This window comes from Homo sapiens, chromosome 3 (assembly GCF_000001405.40).
Source record: "Homo sapiens chromosome 3, GRCh38.p14 Primary Assembly".
NCBI classification, from domain to species: domain Eukaryota; kingdom Metazoa; phylum Chordata; class Mammalia; order Primates; family Hominidae; genus Homo; species Homo sapiens.
In genome coordinates this window covers 50,028,916-50,052,500 of record NC_000003.12, presented here as the reverse complement: position 1 = coordinate 50,052,500, position 23,585 = coordinate 50,028,916, and the positions used below count along the sequence as shown (strand labels likewise).

Here is a 23,585-nt window from a genome sequence, read left to right as displayed (position 1 = left end):
AGAATAGTCTCTTCAACAAATGGTGCTGGGACAACTGAGTATATACATGCCAACGAATAAAGTATGTGACACTTCAGTTAGTGAGTGGCAGTTAGGATCCTAACCTTAGTAGGTATAATTTAAATAGCATAAAACAGGCCTGGCATGATGGCTCATGCCAGTAATCCCAGTACTTTGGGAGGCCGAGGAAGTTGGATCATTTCGGGCCAGGAGTTCAAGACCAGCCTAGCCAACATGGAGAAACCTCATCTCTATTAAAAATACAAAAATTAGCTGGGGATGGTGGCACACGCCTGTAATCCCAGCTACTTGGGAGGCTGAGGCACGAGAATCACTTGAACCTGGGAGGTGGAGGTTGTCGTGAGCCGAGATTGTGCCACTGCAATCCAGCCTGGGTGACAAACCAAGACTCTCTCTTAAAAACAAAAACAAACCCCATAAAGTTTACCTATTTTATGTGTACAATTCAATGATTTTTAGTAAATGTATAGTGCAACCATCACCATAATCTAATTCTGAAACATTTTCATCACCCCAAAAGAAATCTAGTGGAGTTACCTCCCCCATTCTTACCCCTAGGGACATGGAATTGTGCAATGTATGGTCTTCTGTGTCTGGCATAGTATTTTCAAGGTTCATCTAGGTTGTAACATGCATCAGTACTTCATTCCTTTTCATTGTCAAATAGCATTTCATTGTATGGATATGCCAACTTGTTCATCCATCCATCAGCCAATGGACATTTTGGTTATTTCCATTTTTTGGCTATTATGAATAATACCGCCATTAGCATTTGTTTTAATTACAAAAAAATTTTAATAGGTACATAATAAACTTAAAATTTTTCTTTTTTGTTTTTGAGATGGAGTTTCACTCTTGATGTCCAGGCTGGAGTGCAATAGTGCAATTTCAGCTCACCGCAACCTCTGCCTCCCAGGTTCAAGTGATTCTCCTGCCTCGGCCTCCCAAGTAGCTGGGATTACAGGCATGTGCCACCATGCCCAGCTAACTTTGTATTTTTAATAGAGATGGGGTTTCTCCATGTTGGTCAGGCTGATCTCCAACTCCCGACCTCAGATGATCCGCCTGCCTCGGCCTCCCAAAGTGCTGGGATTATAGGCGTGAGCCACCACACCCAGCTAAAAAAAATTTTGAGACAAGGTCTTGCTCTGTCACCCAGGATGGAGTACTGAAGTACAGTGGCACTATCATAGCTCACTGATGCCTCGACCTCCTGGGCTCAGGTGATCCTCCCACCTCAGCCTGCTTAGTAGCCGCGATCATAGGCATGCACCACCACACCCAGTTAAATTTTGTATTTTTTGTAGAGATGGGGTTTTGCCATGTTGCCCAGGCTGGTCTCGAACTCCTGGGCTCAAGTGATCTGCCCACTTTAGCCTCCCAAAGTGTTGGGATTACAGCCATGAGCCACACCTTATCTCTCTCTCTCTCTTTTTTTTTCTTTAGAAAGGATACTCTCAAGAAAGTGAAAGATAACACATAGAAAATATTTATAAATCATATATCTGATAAGGGATTAATATCCAGAAAATATAAAGTACTCTTATAACTCAACAACAAAAATACATGCAAATCAATTCCAAAGGGCAGAGGACTTGGTTGAACATTTCTCCAAAGGAGGTATACAAATGGCCAACAAACACATGAAAAAAAACCCTCAAAGTCATTAGGAAAATGCAAATCAAAACCACAATGAGATATTATTTCATACCCATTAGGATGGCTATTATCAAATAAAGGGAAAAGAACAAATGTTGGCAAGCAGGTGGAGAAATGAAGCCCTTACATATTGCTGGAATATAAAATGGTACAGCTGTGGTCTATGAAAAGGTTTGCTAATAAAATAAAAGAAATACAGTTTGATGGTTCCTCAAAGAGTTAAATATAAAATTACCATATGACTCAGCAATTCCACTCCTGGATACATACCCCCAAATAACTGAAAACAGCTGTTCAAACAAAAACTAGCACACAAAGGTTCTATTATTCACCAAAGTCAGGGTAGAAACAACCCAAATGTCCATCAATTGAGGAATGGATGAACAAAATGTGATATATTCATATTATTTAGCCACAAAAAGAAATGAGGTACTGATAAATACTGCAACATACATGAACTCTGAAAACATGCTAGGTGAAAGGCCAACAGAAAAGTTTACATATTTTGATTCCATTTATATGAAATATCCGGAATAGGCAAATCCATGGAGATAGAAAAAAGATTAATGGTTTCTGGGGACTGGGGGAAGAAGAAGTGGGAAGTTACTGATTAATGATAAGAGGTTTCCTTTTGAGGGTTTAAAAAAGATCTGAGGCTAGATATGGCAGCTCACACCTGTAATCCCAGAACTTCGGGAGGCCAAGGTGAGAGGATCGCTTGAGCACAGGAGGTCAAGGGTACAGTGAGCCATGATCACATCACTGTACTCCAGCTTGAGAAACAAGAGTGAGATCCTGTCTCAAAAAAAAGACAGAAAAAAAAAATTTCTGGAACTAACCTGGACATGATGGCACCTATAGTCCCAGCTATTTGGGAGGTTGAGGTGAGAGGATGACTTGAGCCAGGGACTGTGAGACCAGCCTGGGCAACATAGTGAGATCCCATCTCTTATTTAAAAAAAAAAAAAAAAGAAGTTCTAGGAAGTAGTGTTGATAGCTGCACAACATTGTGAAGGTACTTAATGTCACTGAATTAATGCTTCAAAATGGTTAAAATGGCAAATGTAATGTTACATGTATTTTATCTCAATAAAAGGAAACGAAATATCTTCCTAAAATGACACCATAAGGGAGTATATCCATGAAATATGAGTACTTTGGCTAATAACAATCATAGCTCTTCAAGTTGTATTCTACCGAGACTAACACAATGTCAATTCTACCGAGACTAACAAATGTCAAGCTAAAGTCTTTACTAAATTTTTTCAAGTACTGTAACATTTTTAGTGTGTCGGGGCTCAGAAACTTTATATATTTTTCATAATTATTTTTGATACTAAGTAGTAGCAATGAAAACAAATTATATTTTCATGCTCACTGCAATCAAACTGGACCTTTAAAGAGTATAGCCGGCTGGGTGCCGTGGCTCAAGCCTGTAATCTCAATACTTTGGGAGGCCGAGGTGGGTGGATAATGAGGTCAGGAGTTCAAGACCAGCCTGGCCAAGATGGTGAAACCCCATCTCTACTAAAAACTACAAAAAAATTAGCTGAGCATGGTGGCACACAACTGTAATCCTAGCTACTCGGGAGGCTGGGGCAGGAGAATCGTTTGAACCCGGGTGGCAGAGGTTGTAGTGAGCTGAGATCGCGCCACTGCACTCCAGCCTGGGCGACAGAGCAAGACTCTGTCTCAAAATAAATAAATAAATAAATAAACAGGCCAGCGCGGTGGCTCATGCCTATAATCCCAGCACTTTGGGAGGCTGAGGCAGGTGGATCACTTGAGGTCGGAGTTCAAGACCAGCCTGGCCAACATGGTGAAACCCCATCTCTACTAAAAATACAAAAATCAGGCAGGTGAGGTGGCAAGTGCCTGTAATCCCAGCTACTCGGGAGGCTGAGGCAGCAGAATCACTGGAACCCAGGAGCCAGAGGTTGTAGTGAGTGGAAATCACGCCATTGCACTCTAGCCTGGGCAACAGAATGAGATTCCGTTTCAAAAAAAAAGAGTATAGCCTAAAATTTTAAATATCCCACTCTAAGAGAATATGGAGTTTAATAGAGGTAAAATGCCATGGTGTCTGAAGTTCTATACCCTTGGAAACCCAAGAATATCCAAAAAATGTACGACTCCCAAAGAACTAGTCTCTCCAAACCTACTTTTCCAACCAAGAATTCCTTTATGACCACCCCCAGGAGAGGTGAGAAGATATTATATGTCAAGGAACTGTTATTTTTATAACTGATAGAAATAATGGCACATGTCCTTGGGAAAGTGTCTCCAATTGCAGGTCCAGAACTCTCTATGGCCACATGTAGCAGCTGGGAAGGAGAAATTATGAATGACCTTGTCTTGACCTCCTCCTGTTCAACTGAAGTGACCTGAGGAAGAAGAGCTTTGTCCTTGGGAATGCATGTTAGCAGGCAGCCTTCCTAGAGATATGGAGGAGCTGTTATTCCAGATACTTACTTCTAAAGAAAGGGATTCTTGGTACTTACTCGTTTGCAGTACCAAAAATCCAGGCTTGATACATACTCCAGGGTAACTTCTTTGTCCTGGATCATTAGAGTTCCCTGTAAAGACAAAGACAGAAGCCATCAACATCAACCCTTGGAGAAACAGACAGAGACAGAAAGGCACAGAGAGCCTTTCCAATCCCCAAGCTGAAACATTTTATAAAGAGTGAGCTTAATTCACTGGTGAAAGGAAATGGCTGTTTTAAGCCACAGACCTGGGGCAGTGTTACAGAGCAAGCTTTAGCTTAGGAAAGGGGAGTACGAGAAGGTGAAATCAGTCTTCGGCCTTGGTTCCTGCAGGTTAGGGTGCTGTCCTTGGGCAGGCTATGCCCAGTCTACTTGTCCAGAGGTCAGGTAATGCACTCTCTTGAATCCCAGCAAGTCCCCCACCTAGCTCAGGAGCTAGCACACTATCAAGAAGTAAACTGTTCCTTCTGCACAGAGGCAGAGGAGCCCTCTTCTTTTCCACAGCTATCTCACATCTCCTTGGAAAGGTAGTAAGGGCTATAACTTTAGTGCCTGAAAATTTTCTTTGAAACACTGGCTGTATGGCAAAAGCACCAGGACAAAGACATACAACATTGAAGACAGGAAGAAAGGAGGAAGGTGAAAGCTTCACAGCAAGTTACATCCTTACAGCAGGAAACTGATTGGCTGGTGGGAGCAACAGCGGCGGCGGCGGTATCACTCTGGCTTGGAGCCTATAGAGTGAGCTAGCCCTGAGATCTGAGGAGCAACCATTGGCAAGTAAGCCTTTGGGAAAGTCTGGCACAGGAACAGGTGGGAAAAGGGGCTCAACAAGCCTGTTAAAGAGCTCCCTTGCCTCTCCATTTTGGACAAGTCATGAATTCTATTTCACATTAAAATAAAGTTTTGTTTAATAAACACTAGGCAGCAGGTATGTGTTGGTGCAGGGGAAAAAAATTCTCTGCCTACTGACAAGGGACCCTCACCCACACTTGAAAGTGAACTAACCGAGAATGCGACTCTGGAACTAGCCCCTGCGCTGTGTTCATTCTCCGCCCTCTAGGGTCCTCTGTGTTTCCTCAGACAGGGCTCTGAGTTATACAAGCCATTTCTTTGCAATTGGACCTCAGTTTCTTGCTTGAATCCATACATCTGTCAAATAATGCTTTACCTCTCTGCTTTTCACATCAAAAAAGTCAAGAGAAATACACAGGATAAAATTATTGTCTTGTCAAAACCAAGGAAAATTGCCCATCTACCTAGGTCTTAGCATCTGGTCTGAGACACTATTCCCTGGCTTGTTCTCAAGGCTAAGGACAATGATAATAAAAATCGCTAACATTTATTAAGCACTTACTAAGAGCCAGAAACCACGAAGTACATTATCTTATTTAATCCCCTAAATGATCCGATGAAATAACATTATCTACACTTTACAGATGAGGACCTATGTTCACAGAGGTGGGGTCACCCAGGTGGTGAAGGGCACAGCTGGACTTACATCTGGGCTGTAGAGAAGGGATCTCCTGTTTCATTTTTCTTTTTCCTTTTGTTTTGACTGAGGGATCTCCTGTTTCATTCACCAGCTTCTGCTCAGTATTAGGGACAGGTAATCTGGCCTTAGGGACCAATCAGAAAAGAGACAGGCTCTGTATGCAGGGAAGGATCTGGGAAGGACCACTCTATCAAGCTCCACCAATGCAGGAAGTTAGTCAAGATGAAGCGCCCCCTCCTTTTTTTTTTTTTTTTTTCCCTGAGACAGAGTTTCGCTCTTGTTGCCCAGGCTGGAGTGCTATGGCGTGATCTCGGCTCACTGCAACCTCCGCCTCCCAGGTTCAAGCGAGTCTCCTGCCTCAGCCTCCCGAGTAGCTGGGATTATAGATATATGCCACCACGCTTGGCTAATTTTGTATTTTTAGTAGAGACGGGGTTTCTCCACGTTGGTCAGGCTGGTCTCGAATTCCCAACCTTAGGTAATCCGCCCACCTCGGCCTCCCAAAGTGCTGGGATTACAGGCGTAAGCCACTGCGCCTGGCCGTCTTTTTTTTTTTTTTGAGACAGAGTCTTGCTCTGTCACTCACTCTCAAGTACAGTGGCACGATCTCGGCTCACCACAACCTCCGCCTCCCAGGTTCAAGCAATTCTCCTGCCTCAGCCTCCCGAGTAGCTGGGACTACAGGCGCACACCACCATGCCTGGCTAATTTTTGTATTTTTAGTAGAGATGGGGTTTCACTATGTTGGTCAGGCTGGTCTCGAACTCCTGACCTCGTGATCTGCCCGCTTTGGCCTCCCAAAGTGCTGGGATTACAGACGTGAGCCACTGTGTCCGGCCTAAGATGAACCCCTTCTAAGCCCAGAGACAGGATATAACATCTTTAAGAGCATGGACTGTAGGCTGAGTTCCCTAAATTTGAATCCTGCCTCTACTCCATGACCTTCAGCAAGGTCCTTAACTTCTTTGTGCTTCCATTTCCTCATCTGTAAAGTAAGGACAACAGTACCTATTTCTTAGGGTGGTTGTGAAGATTAAGTAAATTCATACATGTAAAGAGCTTAGCATAGAATATAGTGAGGGCTCAAGAAATGTTGATCATTATAAGCCCTAGGAACCAAAAAAGACCAGCATCAGCAGGTGGGAGTCAAACAGCCACTCATTTCACCTTGCTTGCTTGCTAGGTAGGAATATTCCACCACCCATTTTAATCTCCTGAAAGACTAAGCTTTCATACGGAATGGTCACTACACATCAGAAACTGTATCTTTACGACAGTACTTTGTGTTGTCAAATTACTGGTCCAGATCTCACAGTCTACTTAATCTTGCTGGCCTTTTATTTATTTTCAGCAACAAAGAGTATCTGGTACCAAAAAGGAGCTTAGTAAGCTCTTGTTGAATGAATCAAAGACTGAATAGAGCCAACTATCCCTGGAGGACCTGGTGCTTGGTACACAGTGGCTCTGGAGGGAGATACTGCTGTTAGAGCATACATCTGTATACCCAATCCATAAAACATGTGGGTTGTCATTTGAACAGTGAGTAAGAACAAGGCACTACTGTCAATTTCAGTCACCTGCAAATTCTGATTTCACCAACTGGAGGCATTAATGGATTCAGGTATTTCTAAGGCACTTTATACTTCTCAGACAACAAAAATGTTCCAGTAGCTGTGGATGACCTTTTGTTGAGGGCAGGGAACTCCCCTTGCCAGGAGTCCCCATCAGCATGTCAACTTTGAGATTACTTTTACCTCATGTGTTACAAAAGCAATGATTTCTTATTCTCACAGAATCATCTATAACTCGGGCAGTCCTTTTTCTCAACCTGCACATAGTTAGACATAGGACAGTGACCACTGCTAAAGAATGTGAAATGGTTTTAACATCACTGTTGAAGGGTAGCCAATTGTTTCTTTTTCTCTCTTAAAAAAATTATTATTATTTTTCCAAAACCAAAAAGGGTCAATATAGCCAATTGTTTAATAAGAATAGGTAGTCATAGGACAAACCTGTATGAGAACAATTTATCTATGATTTGATTCCCCAGCTGCTATCATACACAGGCAACTCAGATATACCAAGCACAGGTATGACATACATACACTGCACCCCTCCCCATTGCTGCCTTTCTCTGGATTTCAGAAAACAGACCTGTCAGTGTCTCCTAGGAAAGTATCCTGTAGGGAGTTAGATTAATGAATGGGTAGGATGATGCAATCACCTTCAGTAGATGTCCATTCTTTTTTTTTTTTTTTGAGACGGAGTCTCGCTCTGTCGCCAGGCTGGAGTGCAGTGATGCGATTTTGGCTCACTGCAACCTCCGCCTCCCAAGTTCGAGCAATTCTCCTGCCTCGGCCTCTCGAGTAGCTTGTATTTTAGCAGAGATGGGGTTTCACCATGTTGGCCAGGATGGGCTCTACCTCCTGACCTCATGATCCACCCGCCTCAGCCTCCCAAAGTGCTGGGATTACAGGCATGAGCCCCAGCGCCCAGCCGTGGATGTCCATTCTTAATTGCCTATTATCTATTAGAGTATCTTCACACATTAGAATATTTATTCATCTTTTGATTTATTGAGTTATTAAGCTACTCAAGCAAAGGAGTCATGAAAGCCATGTGTCTGATTAACCAGGTCTGGCTCCTAAAGAGGTACCATATAGGCCAGGCACGGTGGCTCACGCCTGTAATCCTAGCACTTTGGGAGGCCGAGGCGGGTGGACTGCCTGAGCTCAGTTCGAGACCAGCCTGGGCAACACAGTGAAACCCTGTCTCTACTAAAATACAAAAAATTAGCTGGTTGCGGTGATATACACCTGCAGTCCCAGCCAGTCGGAAGACTGAGGCAGAATTGCTAGAACCCGGGAGGTGGAGGTTGCACTGAGCCAAGATCACGCCACTGCACTCCAGCCTGGGTGACAGAGTGAGACTCCGTCTCTTTAAAAAAAAAAAAAAAAAGGCTGGGCACGGTGGCCCATGCCTGTAATCCCAGCACTTTGGGAGGCTGAGGTGGGAGGATCACAAGGTCAGGAGATCAAGACCATCCCTGCCAACATGGTGAAATCCCGTCTCTACTAAAAATACAAAAGTGAGCTGGGTGTGGTGGCACATGCTTGTAATCCCAGCTACTCGGGAGGCTGAGGCAGGAGAACCGTTTGAACCAGGAAGTCAGAGGTTGCAGTGAGCCAAGATCATGCCACTGCACTCTAGCCTGGCAAGAGAGCCAGATTCCGACTCAAATAAAAAAAGAGGGGCCATATATATATATGTGTGTACATACATATATGTATGTATGTATGTATATGTATATGTATATAAAAAGAAGAGAGATAGATCTCTCTTTTTTTTTTTTGAGACAGGGTCTTGCTCTGTTGCCCAGGCTGGAGTGGCATGCAGTGGCATGATCTTGGCACACTGCAACCTCTGCCTCCCAGGTTCAAGCGATTCTCCTGTTTCTGCCTCCCAAGTAGCTGGGATTACAGGTGTGCGCCACTACACCGGGATAATTTTTGTATTTTTAGTAGAGATGGGGTTTCACCATGTTGGCCAGGCTGGTCTTGAACTCCTGGCCTAAAGTGATCGCCTGCCTCGGCCTCCCGAAGTGCTGGGATTACAGGCATGAGCCACTGCACCCGGCTAAGAGGTACCATATATTAGAAAGTAAAACCAAAGACATCTCCTCCTTTCTCAGCAGTGTTAGATTAGGCTTAAATTAGACTAAAACCTGCTAAAATCCTTTCCAGCCCAAAGCCATCACTTGGCAAAGTCACACATGGATATTACTAAGTACATTTCAAGAAATCTTAATATGAAGCTGCAAAAAGCTAGATATTTGCACTCCAGAATGGCAAATCAAGTCCTTATTCTCCACCTAGAGACACCACAGAGGAGCAAACTCTGGGTCTGGAGGGCTGCTGATTGAACATCTACATTCCCATTTCCTTTTTCATCAGCTGCTCTTAGAGACTTCATGATCTCATTTTGTGACTGCCTGTCAGAAGGACTAGGGTCAGAGTGTTGAAACTCTACCATATGCTCCCATTCCGTTGGCTCAAAACCAATCATCAAGGATAGTCTTTTTTTTTTAAAAAAAAGACAGGGTCTCGCTTCTGTTGCCCAGGTTGGAGGCTAGATAGAGCACAGTGGTGCAATCATGACTGACTGCAGCCTTGACCTCCCAGGCTCAAGCAATCCTCCTACCTCAGCCTCCCTAAGTAGCTGAGACCACAGGTGCACACCACCATGCCCAGCTAATTTTTAAATTTTTTTGTAGAGATGGGGGTCTCACTATGTTGCCCAGGCTGGTCTCAAACTCCTGGGCCCAAGTGATCCTCCTGCCTCAGCTTCCCAAAGTGTTGAGATTACAGGCGTGAGTTATGGTGCCCAGCCTCAAGGATTCTTAAAATACTGGGAGGTACAAGAGAAAATGGAAAGAAAACATTTCTGGACAGCAGCTTTGCATCTTTGTTAAAGATCTTCAATGCAAGCTCAGTTGTAGTTATACTTTGTACTGAGAAAATGATTGCTGTGTGATCTTCCCATTACAACACAGAAAGCGATAAACAGTATCAAAAGGCAGGGAAAAAGTATATGAGCTTTGTGAATACAACTCACATTGAAAAGTCACAATTACTCTTCATTGTTTTGTGTTTCTTCCAAACACAGTATGGGAGTATCAGGTTATTGGTGGCTGAGAACTGGTACTGTTTATCAGAGATAGTATCTTTATTCACAAAGCAATTTACAGTTTACAAAGGCATTCTTCACAATATCATCTCATTAGATCCTTACAAATAGGGCATATGGATGGCTGGGATACATGGAGTAGTCTGCCCAAGAATACAGAGCTAATTAGCAACACATACAGTACTAAAAGTCAGGTTTTCTTTTTGCCATATTGTCTTTGTTTTTAAATTCCAGAGAGTCAGTCCATTCATGACACTTCCCACATCAAAGAGGTAGCTTCTGATGAAAAGATACAGTAGAGTCTAAAGAAGTTTGCAAGAAATGGACTCATAGGGAGTTTTTAGAGAGACTGCCACAAAGCCCTTGTTTCTTGACAGCACTGCCAATCCCTCAAACTGGTCTGCTTAAGATGGGCTTTCTGTTCTTAAAACACCTACAATTGCTTTAGGTGCTGTGTCTAAGATAAAGAGTGCTACTAGTAAATGGCTGCTACCAGGAGTTTCAAGAACCATGTCAAACGGACCTGCAGAAAGAGCAAAGCCCGGGGAAGAAAAGTAACAGGTTTAAAACAGATGTGTCATTTCTCTTAGTATAAAAGATTACTTTTTATAGAAATCCTTTGTAAAGCAGTCAGGCTCATTCTTTATGGTACAAGGATATGTTATAGTTCAAATATTTTTTAAAACCCACTATTCCCAAAGGCCAAACCAAAATGAGATAGAAGAGGGAAGGAGGAGATGGAGGAAGAAAGAAAGTACAGTGGCTAAGGGAAGTACAAAGAATGCCCTATGTCAGCTCTATAGCTCTGCCTGTTGGCCTTCTCCATGTCCTCCATTTTGACTAGACTTTTTACCCAACAGGATCTGAGCTGCACTTTGAGCATCCAGGAGATAAGGCCCCACTGGGACTTCCAGTGAAAACACAATCCTACTTCAGTGTCCAATGTAAGGTTGAGGGGCATGAAGACACTGCCCTGTCAGCTGCCACTTCCTATCTTTTCTTGACTAGATGAAAGCACAACAAAAACTTTTACTAAAATGTTCTTGACAGCAAACGTTTTAGACTATATGACGCCAGCAACAACCAGCATCAAGCCAAAATCTTATTTGTGTTCTCTGAAGCAAAACGGCTGACTGTTTCACTGAGCCCCAGAGCCCCACCCACTAGGATCAGAGCTGGCAGAAGTCAGGGTCTCAAGATGAACTCTGCGGCTGGGCACAGTGGCTCACGCCTGTAACCCCAGCATTTGGGGAGGTCAAGGCAGGTGGATTGCTTGAGCTCAGGAGTTCGAGACCAGCCTGGGCAATGTGATAAAACCCCGCCTCTACAAAAAATACAAAATGGTAGTGTGCGCCTGTTATCCTAACTACTCCAGGGGCTGAGGTGGGAGGGTTGCTTGAACCTGTGAGGTCGAGGCTGCAGTGAGCCAAGCTCACGCCATTGCATTCCAGCCTGGGTGACAAAGTAAGACCCAATCTCAAAAAAAAAAAAAAGAATTCTGCTCTGGGAACACAATACACTCCAAGCCAGACCCTGACATAAGAAAATGTAAATATACACATATATATGTATATATCTATAGATATACATGTGTGTGTATATATATATGCATGTGTGTGTGTATATATATACACACGTGTGTGTGTGTGTGTGTGTGTGTATATATATATATATATATATATTTTTTTTTTTTTTTTTTTTTTTTTTTGAGAAGGAGCCTTGCTCTGTCACCCAGGCTGGAGTGCAGTGGTGCGATCTCAGCTCACTGCAAGCTCTGCCTCCCGGGTTCATGCAATTTTCCTGCCTCAGCCTCCCGAGTAGCTGGGACTACAGGCACCCATCACCACGCCTGGCTAATTTTTTGTATTTTTAGTAGAGATGGGGTTTCACCGTGTTAGCCAGGATGGTCTCGGTCTCCTGACCTCGTGAGCTGCCCACCTCGGCCTCCCAAAGTGTTGGGATTACAGGCGTGAGCCAGGGCACCCGGCCGAGAACTTAAATATTTTAAAGGTGTCTGGTGCTAAGAATATATTCCACCCACTTCACTACCACTCCTTGCAGGTCTTACATGCATTTTAAAGTAAGATTCAGGTTCTAGAAAATGCCTCCTATCATGATGAAAGAAAACCAGGGATCCGTAGTCTTGGAGGTAATTCCATGAACTTGGCTCCAGGAACATAGAAAGAACAGTGCCTACCAGGGGATCCACACGTCTCTCCTATTCTAAGGTTCCATTACATTTGTATTTGCGGCAAAAACAAAGAGGCAAAATATATAAATAAGCAAGTAAGTAAGTAATCAAAAGAGCCTCAAATCTTTTCTCTCCTTGTGAGAAGACAAGACTCTATCATAAAGACTGAGACTGTGAGGCAGACAGGGCATTCAACAAATTCCTTCATCACAGAATCTCCGTAGATTGCTTCTTACAATTTATAAACTCCAACTATTAGCACTCAGAACAACTGAAAAACTGAACCACTAAAATGCAGATTTTTAAAAAACTTTTCAGCTTGTTATAATTTTGTATCTTTTAGAGCAATGGTTCACCTAACATTTATAAAAACCTTAGTCAAAATTTCTCTGGTTAATAATTTATTTCCGTATGCTGGGTGCGGTGGCCCATGCCTGTAATCCCAGCACTTTGGGAGACCAAGGGTGGGGGGGGGGGGGGTGGATCACCTGAGGTCAGGAGTTCGAGACCAGCCTGGCCAACATGGTGAAACCCTGTCTCTACTACAAGTACAAAATTAGCTGGGTGTGGTAATGGGCGCTTCTAATCCCAGCTACTCGGGAGGCTGAGGCAGGAGCATCGCTTGAACCTGGGAGGTGGAGGTTGCAGCGAGCCGAGATTGTGTGATTGCACTCCAGCCTGGGTGAAAAGAGCGAGACTCCATCTCAAAATAAATAAATAAATAATAATAATTTATTTTCACACAAAGATATGGCCTAATTCTTGGTGGAAGTAAAATATCACATTTTGACATATTTTACTGATAATTCTCAGAATTCCCTTCAGAATTCAGAATTCTATAACCTCTATCTTATTTTTTTCCTCTTTCCTGAGTTGATTCCAATCACATAGCAATGAAATAAAAATACTCACAAAGTAGAATATGTACAGAAACAAGATACAGCTTGTTCTTTTCTGACAATTGAATCAGTTAACCCTAAAATAATTATGAGGTATGTAGGGCAAGGGCTTTTAGTCCCAGATAAAAGAGAGGCTCTCTCCTACTGCAATTAGGGACATCCCCCACCTCAACACAGAGTGAAGGGCAGCTGATTTACATCATTTCTTTTCTTCTTTTTCTTCTTTTTTTGGGGACGGAGTCTTGCTCTGTTGCCTAGGCTGGAGTGCAGTGGCGCGATCTCGGCTCACTGCAAGCTCTTCCTCCTGGGTTCACGCCATTCTCCTGTCTCAGCCTCCTGAGTAGTTGGGACTACAGGTGCCGGCCACCACACCTGGCTGATTTTTTTTGTATTTTTAGTAGAGACGGGGTTTCACCCTGTTAGCCAGGATGTTCTCGATCTCCGGACCTCATGATCCGCCCGCCTCGGCCTCCCAAAGTGCTGGGATTACAGGCGTGAGCCCCTGTACCCGGCCTGATTTACATCATTTCTATAACACTTTTATATTCTGAGATGACTACTATTGGAGCTCCCTGGCTCTTTTCTTCTGGAAAAAGTAGACTCTAAATTCAACATCAAGGCATGCTTCATTGAATAGGTCTCTAAACTGAATCACTATAGAGAAAAACAAATAGGGAGTTTGGTAAATAAATGTGGAAAATATAAAGCTTCTTAATTTGCTTTGTTTACCAAAGAATATAATAAAACTATTCCTTTTTCTTAAAAACTTAATGGCAGGAGGTGGTAGAGAACAGCCAAGAGAGCAGACTGAGGCCCACAAGACCTAAGATACTGTACAGGCCTCACTGCTGAGCCCATCACAAAGCCTGCACAGTATTCCCCAGGCATCCCCAAAGAACCAGCAGCTATTCTTCAGGATCCACCATCCAAAAGAGACATTGGAACCGGCAGCGGTGGCTCACACCTGTAATCCCAGCACTTTGGGAGGCTGAGGCGGGTGGATCACCTGAGGTCAGGAGTTCAAGACCAGCCTGGCCAACATGGTGAAATCCCATCTCTACTAAAAATACAAAAATTACCCGGGCATGGTGGCGGGCGCCTGTAATCCCAGCTACTCAGGAGGCTGAGGCAAGAGAATCACCTGAACCTGGGAGGTGGAGGGTGCAGTGAACCAAGATCGTGCCACCACACTCCAGCCTGGGCAACAAGAGCAAAACTCTGTCTCAAAAAAAAAAAAAAAAAAAGGAAAGAAAAGAAATTTGCCACGCATGGTGGCTCATGTCTATAATCCCTACACTTTAGAAGGTCAAGGTGGGAGAACTGCTTGAACCCAGGAGCTCGAGACCAGACCAGCTCAGGGAACACAGTGAGACCCCATCTCCATTGCTATTAAAACAAAATTTTTTAATGGGAAAAAAAATAAAAAGAGACATTATTTCTACTGACCCTTTATCTATCACCTCCCACCCAAGTACTTGAGCTTCCTCAAAGGTATCTTTAGCCCCTCTGCCTGTAACGTCCTCAAAGAGTCTTGCTGACTTGATTTCTGCAGAAATAGTGCCTTGAAAATATTAATAAAATACAGAGCCTCTGGACTTCTGAATACATACTGTTCAACTAATATTTTAGGGAGGTGACTATGCCCCCCTGCTTTTTTTGAGACAGGGTCTTGCTCTGTCACTCAGGCTAGAGTGCACTGGTGTTGTATGATCATAGCTCATTGTAGCCTTGATCTCCTGAGCTCAAGCAATCATCCCACCTCAGCTTCCTGACAAGCTGGGACAATACGTGCATGTCACCAAGTCTGGCTAATTTATTTTATTTTATGCAGACATGGGGTCTTCCTATGATGCCCCGGCTGGTCTTGAACTCCTGGGCTCAAATGATCCTCCTGCCACAGCCTCCCAAAGGGCTGGAATTACAGGTGTTAGCCATCATGCCCAGCCAATTCTCTTCTTAGGCAGAAAGCTATTGACCCAATGCCACTTAGAAGTACCAAGACTAAGAATGGAAGCTTTTTGGGAGGCCAAGGTGGATGGATCACGAGGTCAAGAGATCGAGACCATACTGGCCAACATGGTGAAGCCCCGTCTCTACTAAAAATTAAAAAAAAAATTAGCTGGGCATGGTGGCATGAGCCTGTAGTCCCAATTACTTGGGAGGCTGAGGCAGGAGAATCACTTGAACCCAGGAGGCGGAGGCTGCAGTGAGCCAAGATCGCGCCACTGCACTCTAGCCTCGCGACAGAGCAAGACTCCCATCTCCAAAAAAAAAGAAAGGAAGCTTTAAGTCAGAAAAGGTTCACTGGGATACATGGGATACAAGGTTAGGTCCCTAATCCTTTTTGTTCTACTTATTTTCACAAGCAAATAACACAAAGAATTATCAAACTTCAGCCCTTGATAAAAATGAGGGCTGGCTTCTAACATTGAAGACATGCTATGGTTAAATTAGCCAATATTTGGAAAGCAGCATTTACTGAGCTATAATATCATGGCTGCTACAATATAATGGCTATAATATCTTAACTTTTTTTTTTTTAACAGCAGATATGTATAGAGTGAGGGAATGATTCCTGCACGAAGAAGAAATTTGTAGTAATCCAGGAGTTAGGGAGAAGACAAAGCCAGCATGTCACTAACTATATCCCTGCTGGAGTTGGGATCATGTGCTACAAAGGCATAGCCCATAGCTAGTCATCAAGAAACTCTCCTGATCAGACCTGTATGCCTTGGCAATCTATCACAGACGTAACCCTTGGATGCCTTTAAACTCCATCAGACGTTAAGACATACCATCCAGTTTATTAAAAGGCATCTCTTGTAGTTTGTAGGCTATAAAAAGAAAATACGTTTAAAAAGGGAGACCCTGCTGGGCGCAGTGGCTCATGCCTGTAATCCCAGCACTTTGGGAGCTGAGGTGGGCGAATCAACTGAGGTCAGGAGTTTGAGAACAGCCTGGCCAATATAGTGAAACCTGGTCTGTACCAAAAATATAAAAATTGAGCTGGGCGCAGTGGCTCACGTCTGTAATCCCAGCACTTTGGGAGGCCAAGGTGGGTGGATCACAAGGTGTGGAGTTCAAGACTAGCCTGGCCAAGATGGTGAAACCCTGTCTCTATTAAAAATACAAAAAAATTAGCCAGACATGGTGGTGGGCACCTGTAATCCCAGCTACTCAGGAGGCTGAGGCACGAGAATTGCTTGAACCTGGGAGGGGAGGTTGCAGTGAGCCGAAATCACGCCACTGCGTTCCAGCCTGGGCAACAGAGTGAGACTCTGTCTCAAAAAAAAAAAATTTTTTTAAATAAAATCATAAAAAGGGAGACCTTTGAACAGTATTAGGAAGCATGCTGAAGTTTCTTTTTTATTTATTTTTTTTTGAGACGGAGTCTGGCTCTGTCGACCAGGCTGGAGTGCAATGGCATGATCTCAGCTCACTGCAAGCTCCGCTTCCCAGGTTCACACCATTCTCCTGCCTCAGCCTCCCAAGTAGCTGGGACTACAGGCACCCGCCACCATGCCCGGCTAATTTTTTGTATTTTTAGTAGAGACGGGGTTTCACCGTATTAGCCAGGATGGTCTCGATCTTCTGACCTCGTGATCCGCCCACCTCGGCCTCCCAAAGTGCTGAGATTACAGGTGTGAGCCACCGCACCCTGTCCTGAAGTTTCTATTATACAGAGTAGCCTGTAAGTCTGGCTTTTCCAGGGCAGTTTTAACTGCTCTCTATCCTGTTGAAAGGCTATGTGTTGGTGCACTTGTCTTTCAGGTCACCTGCTTGGCCCTCTTCCAAGTGTACTTTCCTTCCTTTCATTCCTGTTCTAAAGCTTTTAAATAAACTCTCTCCTGTTGTAAAACTTGCCTTGGTCTCTCCTTCTGCCTTATGACCCTCAGTCAAATTGTTTCTTCTGAGGAGGCAAGAATTGAAGTTGCTGCAGACCTGTATGGATACAGATTTGCTGCCCTTAGCAGATAGACAGATAAAGAGAGGGGAGGGGAGGAGAGGGGAGTAGGGGAGGAGAGGGGAGGGGAGGGGAGGGAAGATGAGAGGAGAGGAGAGGAGAGGGAAGAGGAGAGGAGAGGAGAGGAGAAAGAGAAACAGATTTTTTTCTTTTCCTAGCCTATGTTAGAAGCCATAGCAAATTAGTGAAAGGGACAAAGAAGCTGAGCCTGCTTCTTTAGCCATGATATATCAGTACTGTTCCTTAGAAGGAAAACTGCCCTTGCTATAGACTGGAATTTTCTCTTTTCAGAATAAAAGTTTTGGTTCCTTGTCCAATTATTCATTGCCTTTTTTTTTGGAGACGGAGTCTCGCTCTGTCGCCCAGGCTGGAGTGCAGTGTTGTGATCTCGGCTCACTGCAACTTCCGCCTCCCGGGTTCAAGCAATTCTCCTGACTCAGCCTCCCTAGTAGCTGGGATTACAAGCATGCGCTACTACACCCGGCTAGCTTTTGTATTTTTAGTAGAGATGGGGTTTCGCCATGTTGGCCAGGCTGGTCTCAAACTCCTGACCTCAAGTGATCTGCCGCCTTGGCCTCCCAAAGTGCTGGGATTACAGGCGTGAGCCACCGCACCTGGCCACCACCATCTGAAATTCTTATCAGGAAAACTGCAGAATGGAAAGAGTTATTTAACACTGCTGGAAGTGAAGAGAGACAAAAAGAGAGTGAGAAAATATGCCAACAGGTCATATAAAGTGCACCGTGAGCATGTACAATGAACAAAGCTGGATGGGAACCAGAGAAAAGAAAATGAAACACCACACTAAGAAGTCTAGGCTGAGCGTGATGGCTCACGCTTGTAATCCCAGCACTTCGGGATGCCGAGGTGGGGGGATCACTTCAGGTCAGGAGTTCCAGACCAGCCTGGCTAACATGATGAAACCTTGTCTCTACTAAAAACACAAAAATTAGCTGAGTGTGGTGGCAACAAGAGTGAAACCCTGTCTCAGAAAAAAAAAAAAAAAAAAGGAAGTATAGAAACAAATAAAAAGAAGACATAGTCTTATTAAGATGGGCCTGGCAGAAATGGTGTTTCTAGACAGGGGGCATTTGATCTCTGTCCTTGTATGTTTATGTATAATAAGGTTTAGGAAAAACACACATAGAAAAACTATATCCGGCCAAGTGCTGTGGCTCAGTCCTGTAATCCTACCACTTTGGGAGGCCAAGGCAGGGGGATCACGAGGTCGGGAGATTGAGACCATCCTGGCCTACATGGTAAAACCCCATCTCTACTAAAAATACAAAAATTAGCTGGGCGTGGTGGTATGCACCTGTAGCCCCAGCTACTCGGGAGGCTGAGGCAGAATTACTTGAACCTGGGAGGCAGAGCTTGCAGTGAGCTGAGATTACGCCACTGCACTCCACCTGGTGACAGAGCGAGACTCCATCTCAAAAAAAGAAAAAAAAGAAAAAACCATATCCAAAGCTGCTCAGGCAAAACATGGTCTTTACCATACAGTAACTTAGCTTCTGAATCTACTGACCTGGCATTCAAACTTCATATACTTACATCAGTGCTGGATGTTCCACAGCATATGCTTTAGTTACTAATCACCAGCCTATGGGTCATTTTAAAGAATATAAAAACAGAAGTGAACATTTTTATTATATTTTATTTATATATTTAATTATAAATTTAGTAGTTTTGTACTGTTTTGTTTTAAAGCATCAGGTTTCAGGAGCTCAAGATTATAGTGAACTACGGATCATACCACTGTACATATGTGAGGCCCCGTCTCTTTTTCTTTTTTTTCTTTTCGAGACAGAGTCTCACTCTGTCACCCAGGCTGGAGTGCAGTGGCACAGTCTTGGCTCACTGCAACCTCTGCCTCCCGGGTTCAAGCACTTCTCCTGTCTGAGCCTCCTGAGTAGCTGGGATTACCGGTATGCACCACCATGCCCAGCTAATTTTTGTATTTTTAGTAGAGACTGGGTTTCTCCATGTTGGCCAGGCTGGTCTCAAACTCCTGACCTCAGGTGATCTGCCCACCTTGGCCTCCCGAAGTGCTGTGATTACAGGCATGAGCTTGGCTTCCCTGTCTCTTCTCTATTTCTTTTTCTTTTTTTTTTGAGATGGAGTTTTGCTCTTGTTGCCCAGGTTGGAGTGCAATGGCACGATCTCGGCTCACTGCAACCTCTGCCTCCTTGTTTCAAGCGGTTCTCCTGCCTCAGCCTCCCGAATAGCTGGAATTACAGGCATGCACCACCATGCCCGGCTAATTTTGTATTTTTAGTAGAGACAGGGTTTCCCCATGTTGGCCAGGCTAGTCTCGAACTCTGACCTTAGGTGATCCACCTGCCTCGGCCTCCCAAAGTGCTGGGATTATAGGCGTGAGCCACCGTGCCCGGCCCCCTGTCTCTATTTCTTAAAAGAAGCATTTGGCTGGTGATAATTATATATTTAGTATTTTTTAAAATTATTATAAGAATAATTAATGTTTGGAGAAACGAGTTCTGTAACCGGAAAGAATCTGGTTCTCATTCTGGGAAATTAAGAGACTACTAATAGTCTCCCAATGTCTATTTGCTCTCTTACCTTGGGAGCAAATCCCTGCTTTTTTTTTTTTTTTTTTGAGATGGAGTCTCGCCCTGTTGCCAGGCTGGAGCGCAATGGCACGACCTTCGCTCACTGCAACCTCCACCTCCTGGGTTCAACCAATTCTCCTGCCTCAGCCTCCTGAGTAGCTTGGACTACAGGCACGCACCACCACGCCCAGCTAATTTTTGTATTTTTTTTAGTAGAGATGGGGTTTCACCATGTTGGCCAGGATGGTCTCCATCTCTTGATCTCATGATCCGCCTGCCTCGACCTCCCAAAGTGCTGGGATTACAGGTGTGAGCCACCGTGCCCGGCCTGGAAAATTAAAAGACTACTAGTAGTCTCCTAATGCCTATCTGCTCTCTTTACCTTGGGAGAAAATCTGCTTTTTAACTGGGCACATAGCTGCCTAAAATAAAGACGTTCTGCAGCCCTCCTTGAAGCTGAAGTGTGGCTATGACTAAATTCTGATCAACTGAACATAACTAGAAGTAATGCTTGAAACGCTCAAAAGTATCCTTTTTTAAGAAATTTTTGTGGATACATAGTAGGTGTATTTATTTATGGAGTACAGGAGATGTTTTGATACAGGCATGCAATGTGAAATAAGCATATCATGGGGAATAGAGTATCCATCCCCTCATGCATTTATCTTTTGAGTTACAACCAATCAAATTATACTCTGCATTATTTTATTTTTTTCTTTTTATGTTATTTTAAAATGTACAATTAAGTCATTATTGACTATACTCACCCTATTGTGGTATCAAATAGTAGGTCTTTTTTTTTATACTTTAAGTTCTAGGGTACATGGTGCACAATGTGCAGGTTTGTTACACATGTATACATGTGCCATGTTGGTGTGCTGCACCCATTAACTCGTCATTTACATTAAGTATATCTCCTAATGCTATCACTCCCCCCTCCCCCACCCCACGACAGGCCCCAGTGTGTGATGTTCCCCGCTCTGTGTCCAAGTGTTCTCATTGTTCAATTCCCACGTATAAGTGAGAACATGTGGTGTCCGGTTTTCTGCCCTTAGATAGTTTGCTCAGAATGATGGTTTACAGCTTCATCCATGTCCCTACAAAGGACATGAACTCATCCTTTTTTATTGCTGCATAGTATTCCATGGTGTATATGTGCCACATTTTCTTAATCCAGTCTATCATTGATGGACATTTGGATTGGTTCCAAGTCTTTGCTATTGTGAATAGTGCCGCAATAAACATACATGTGCATGTGTCTTTATAGCAGCATGATTTATAATCCTTTGGGTATATACCCAGTAATGGGATGGCTGGGTCAAATGGTATTTCTAGTTCTAGATCCTTGAGGAATCGCCACACTGTCTTCCACAATGGCTGAACTAGTTTACAGTCCCACCAACAGTGTAAAAGTGTTCCTGTTTCTCCACATCCTCTCCAGCACCTGTTGTTTCCTGGCTTTTTACTGATCACTATTCTAACTGGTGTGAGATACATATAGGCGTGAGCCACCTATATCATTGTGGTTTTGATTTGCATTTCTCTGATGGTCTTACTCATTCTACCTTTTTTATACCCCTTTACCATTCCCACCTTCCCCCCAGCCCCCTAACTACCCTTCCCATACTCTGGTAACCATCCTTCTACTCACTATGTCCAGGAAGTATCCTTAAAGACAGGGCCCATTTTCATCCCCCTTCCTTCCCATTGGTTGCTAAATAAAACTGATAACTGACACTCAAATAGCCATCTTGAACAATAAGATAGAAATCACATGTTAAGATGGGGCTACATGGTTGAAAGAACCTGGGTCCCTGATCATGACCAAACCACCATAAGAAAGCCTGGACAGCTCAAACTTCATTTGCATTAGAGAGAAATAAACTTGTTTAAACTGCTTTTATTTTTAGTTTTCTGTCATTCCCAGCCAAATCTAATCCTAACCAATACAGACGCTTTTGAAAATTACTGGTAAGAGGCAGAAGGAAGTATTTTGCTTAAAATTCATAAACTATAAAATAAACAGAAAGTTGTAGGAAAAAAGTAGGTAGTGGAACAAAAGGTATAAGAAATGACAATGAAAAAACCTGTGGAGCTCTGTTTGTGTATTTCTAGAGGTCCTACTGTCACTTGACACTTAATGTATCCAACCAATTATTCTCCCTCCCAAATGCTTTCCTCTTCTACATGCTTTGTATCTGTTCAAGGTACAACCATTTTTTTTTTTTTTTTTTTTTTTTTTTAAGACAAAAAGAGTCTCACTCTGTCACCCAGGCTAGAGAGCAGTGGCATGATCATGGCTCACTGCAATCTCGACTTCCTGGGCCCAAGTGATTCTCCCACCTCACCCCCGCCCCACCCACCAGTCACTGGGACTACAGGCACGTGCCCCCATGCCCAGCTTTTATATATATTTGTAAAATTTTTATAGAGACAAGGTCCCACTACATTGCCCAGGCTGGTCTCGAACTCCTGGGCTCAAGCAATCCTTCTGCCATGGCCTCCCAAAGTCTCACTCTGTTGCCCATGCTGGAGTGCCCTGGTGCATCATGGCTCACTGTACTCTCGACCTCTTGGGTTCAAGAGATCCTTCCACCTCAACCTCTCTAGTAATGGGAACTACAGGGGCACACCACCATGCCTGGCTAAATTTCTTTTTAAAAAATTTTTATAGCGATGAGGTTTTACTATGTTGCCCAGGCTGGTCTTGAACTCCTGGGCTCAAGCAATCCTCCTGCCTCGGCCTCCCAAGTGTTGGAATTACTCCTTTATTTATTTATTATTATTATTATTTTTTGAGACAGAGTCTCGCTCTGTCGCCCTGGCTGGAGTGCAGTGGCACGATCTCGGCTCACTGCAACCTCTGCCTCCTGGGTTCAAGTGATTCTTCTGCCTCAGTCTCCTGAGTAGCTGGGCCTACAGGTACACGCCACCACGCCCAGCTAATTTTTGTATTTTTAGTAGAGACGGGGTTTCGCCATATTGGCTAGGCTGGTCTCGAACTCCTGACCTCGTGATCTGCCCGCCTCAGCCTCCCAAAGTGCTGGGATGACAGGCGTGAGCCACCATGCCAAACCGGTATGATTCCTTTAACCTCTGAGTGGCCTTTGATTCTGCCCTCTCTCTTGTACCTTCCCCTCTGATATCCAGTGTTATCAAATCCTAGAGATTCTTTGTTTAAACTCTTTCAAACCTGATCTCTTCCTTCCACATCTACTCCTAATCCCTAATGCAAGGCATCAACTTCTCACATATCAACTGCTGCTCTACATCCTAAGGGACCCTTTTCTCTGCAGTTTCTCTTTTTAAGTCTACATACCACCACAAGAAGATAGTATCATTTTGATACTGTTACATTCTTGTAATCCACCATGTCATCAAATTAAACTTTTAAATGCAAGGCCCTAGACAACCTAAACTGACCTACCTTGTACCTTCCAAGTCATTCCATTCACTACATTCCAGAGTAAAAGAACAAGAATCAGACAGAAATTTGAAAGCTAAAATGAACAAACAAGAATATATGGCTAGCTCCATCAAAGGAGAAATAGTATCTACTAATTGCTATCTCAGAAAATACAGTAGAAACCTAACAGAAATATCAGAGCCTAGCA

At 43.7% G+C, this 23,585-nt stretch overlaps 1 protein-coding gene across 18 annotated transcripts in view; it reads right to left on the bottom strand.

Moving 5' to 3' along the window:
* Positions 1-23,585, bottom strand: part of RBM6 (RNA binding motif protein 6) — a 137,100-nt gene that overhangs the window by 24,749 nt on the left and 88,766 nt on the right. For 11 of the 18 annotated variants that reach the window (XM_047447131.1, NM_005777.3, NM_001349191.2 and 8 more), the window contains one exon: positions 4,182-4,256. The exons of 1 other annotated variant lie outside the window; for it this stretch is intronic. In XM_047447131.1, coding sequence (XP_047303087.1) covers positions 4,182-4,256 — 75 coding nt within the window. Of the gene's footprint in view, positions 1-4,181; positions 4,257-5,174; positions 5,342-5,667; positions 5,786-18,955; positions 19,000-23,585 lie in introns of those variants that run through there. 6 more of the 18 variants (XM_047447137.1, XM_047447136.1, XM_047447134.1 and 3 more) reach the window with 5 other exon arrangements.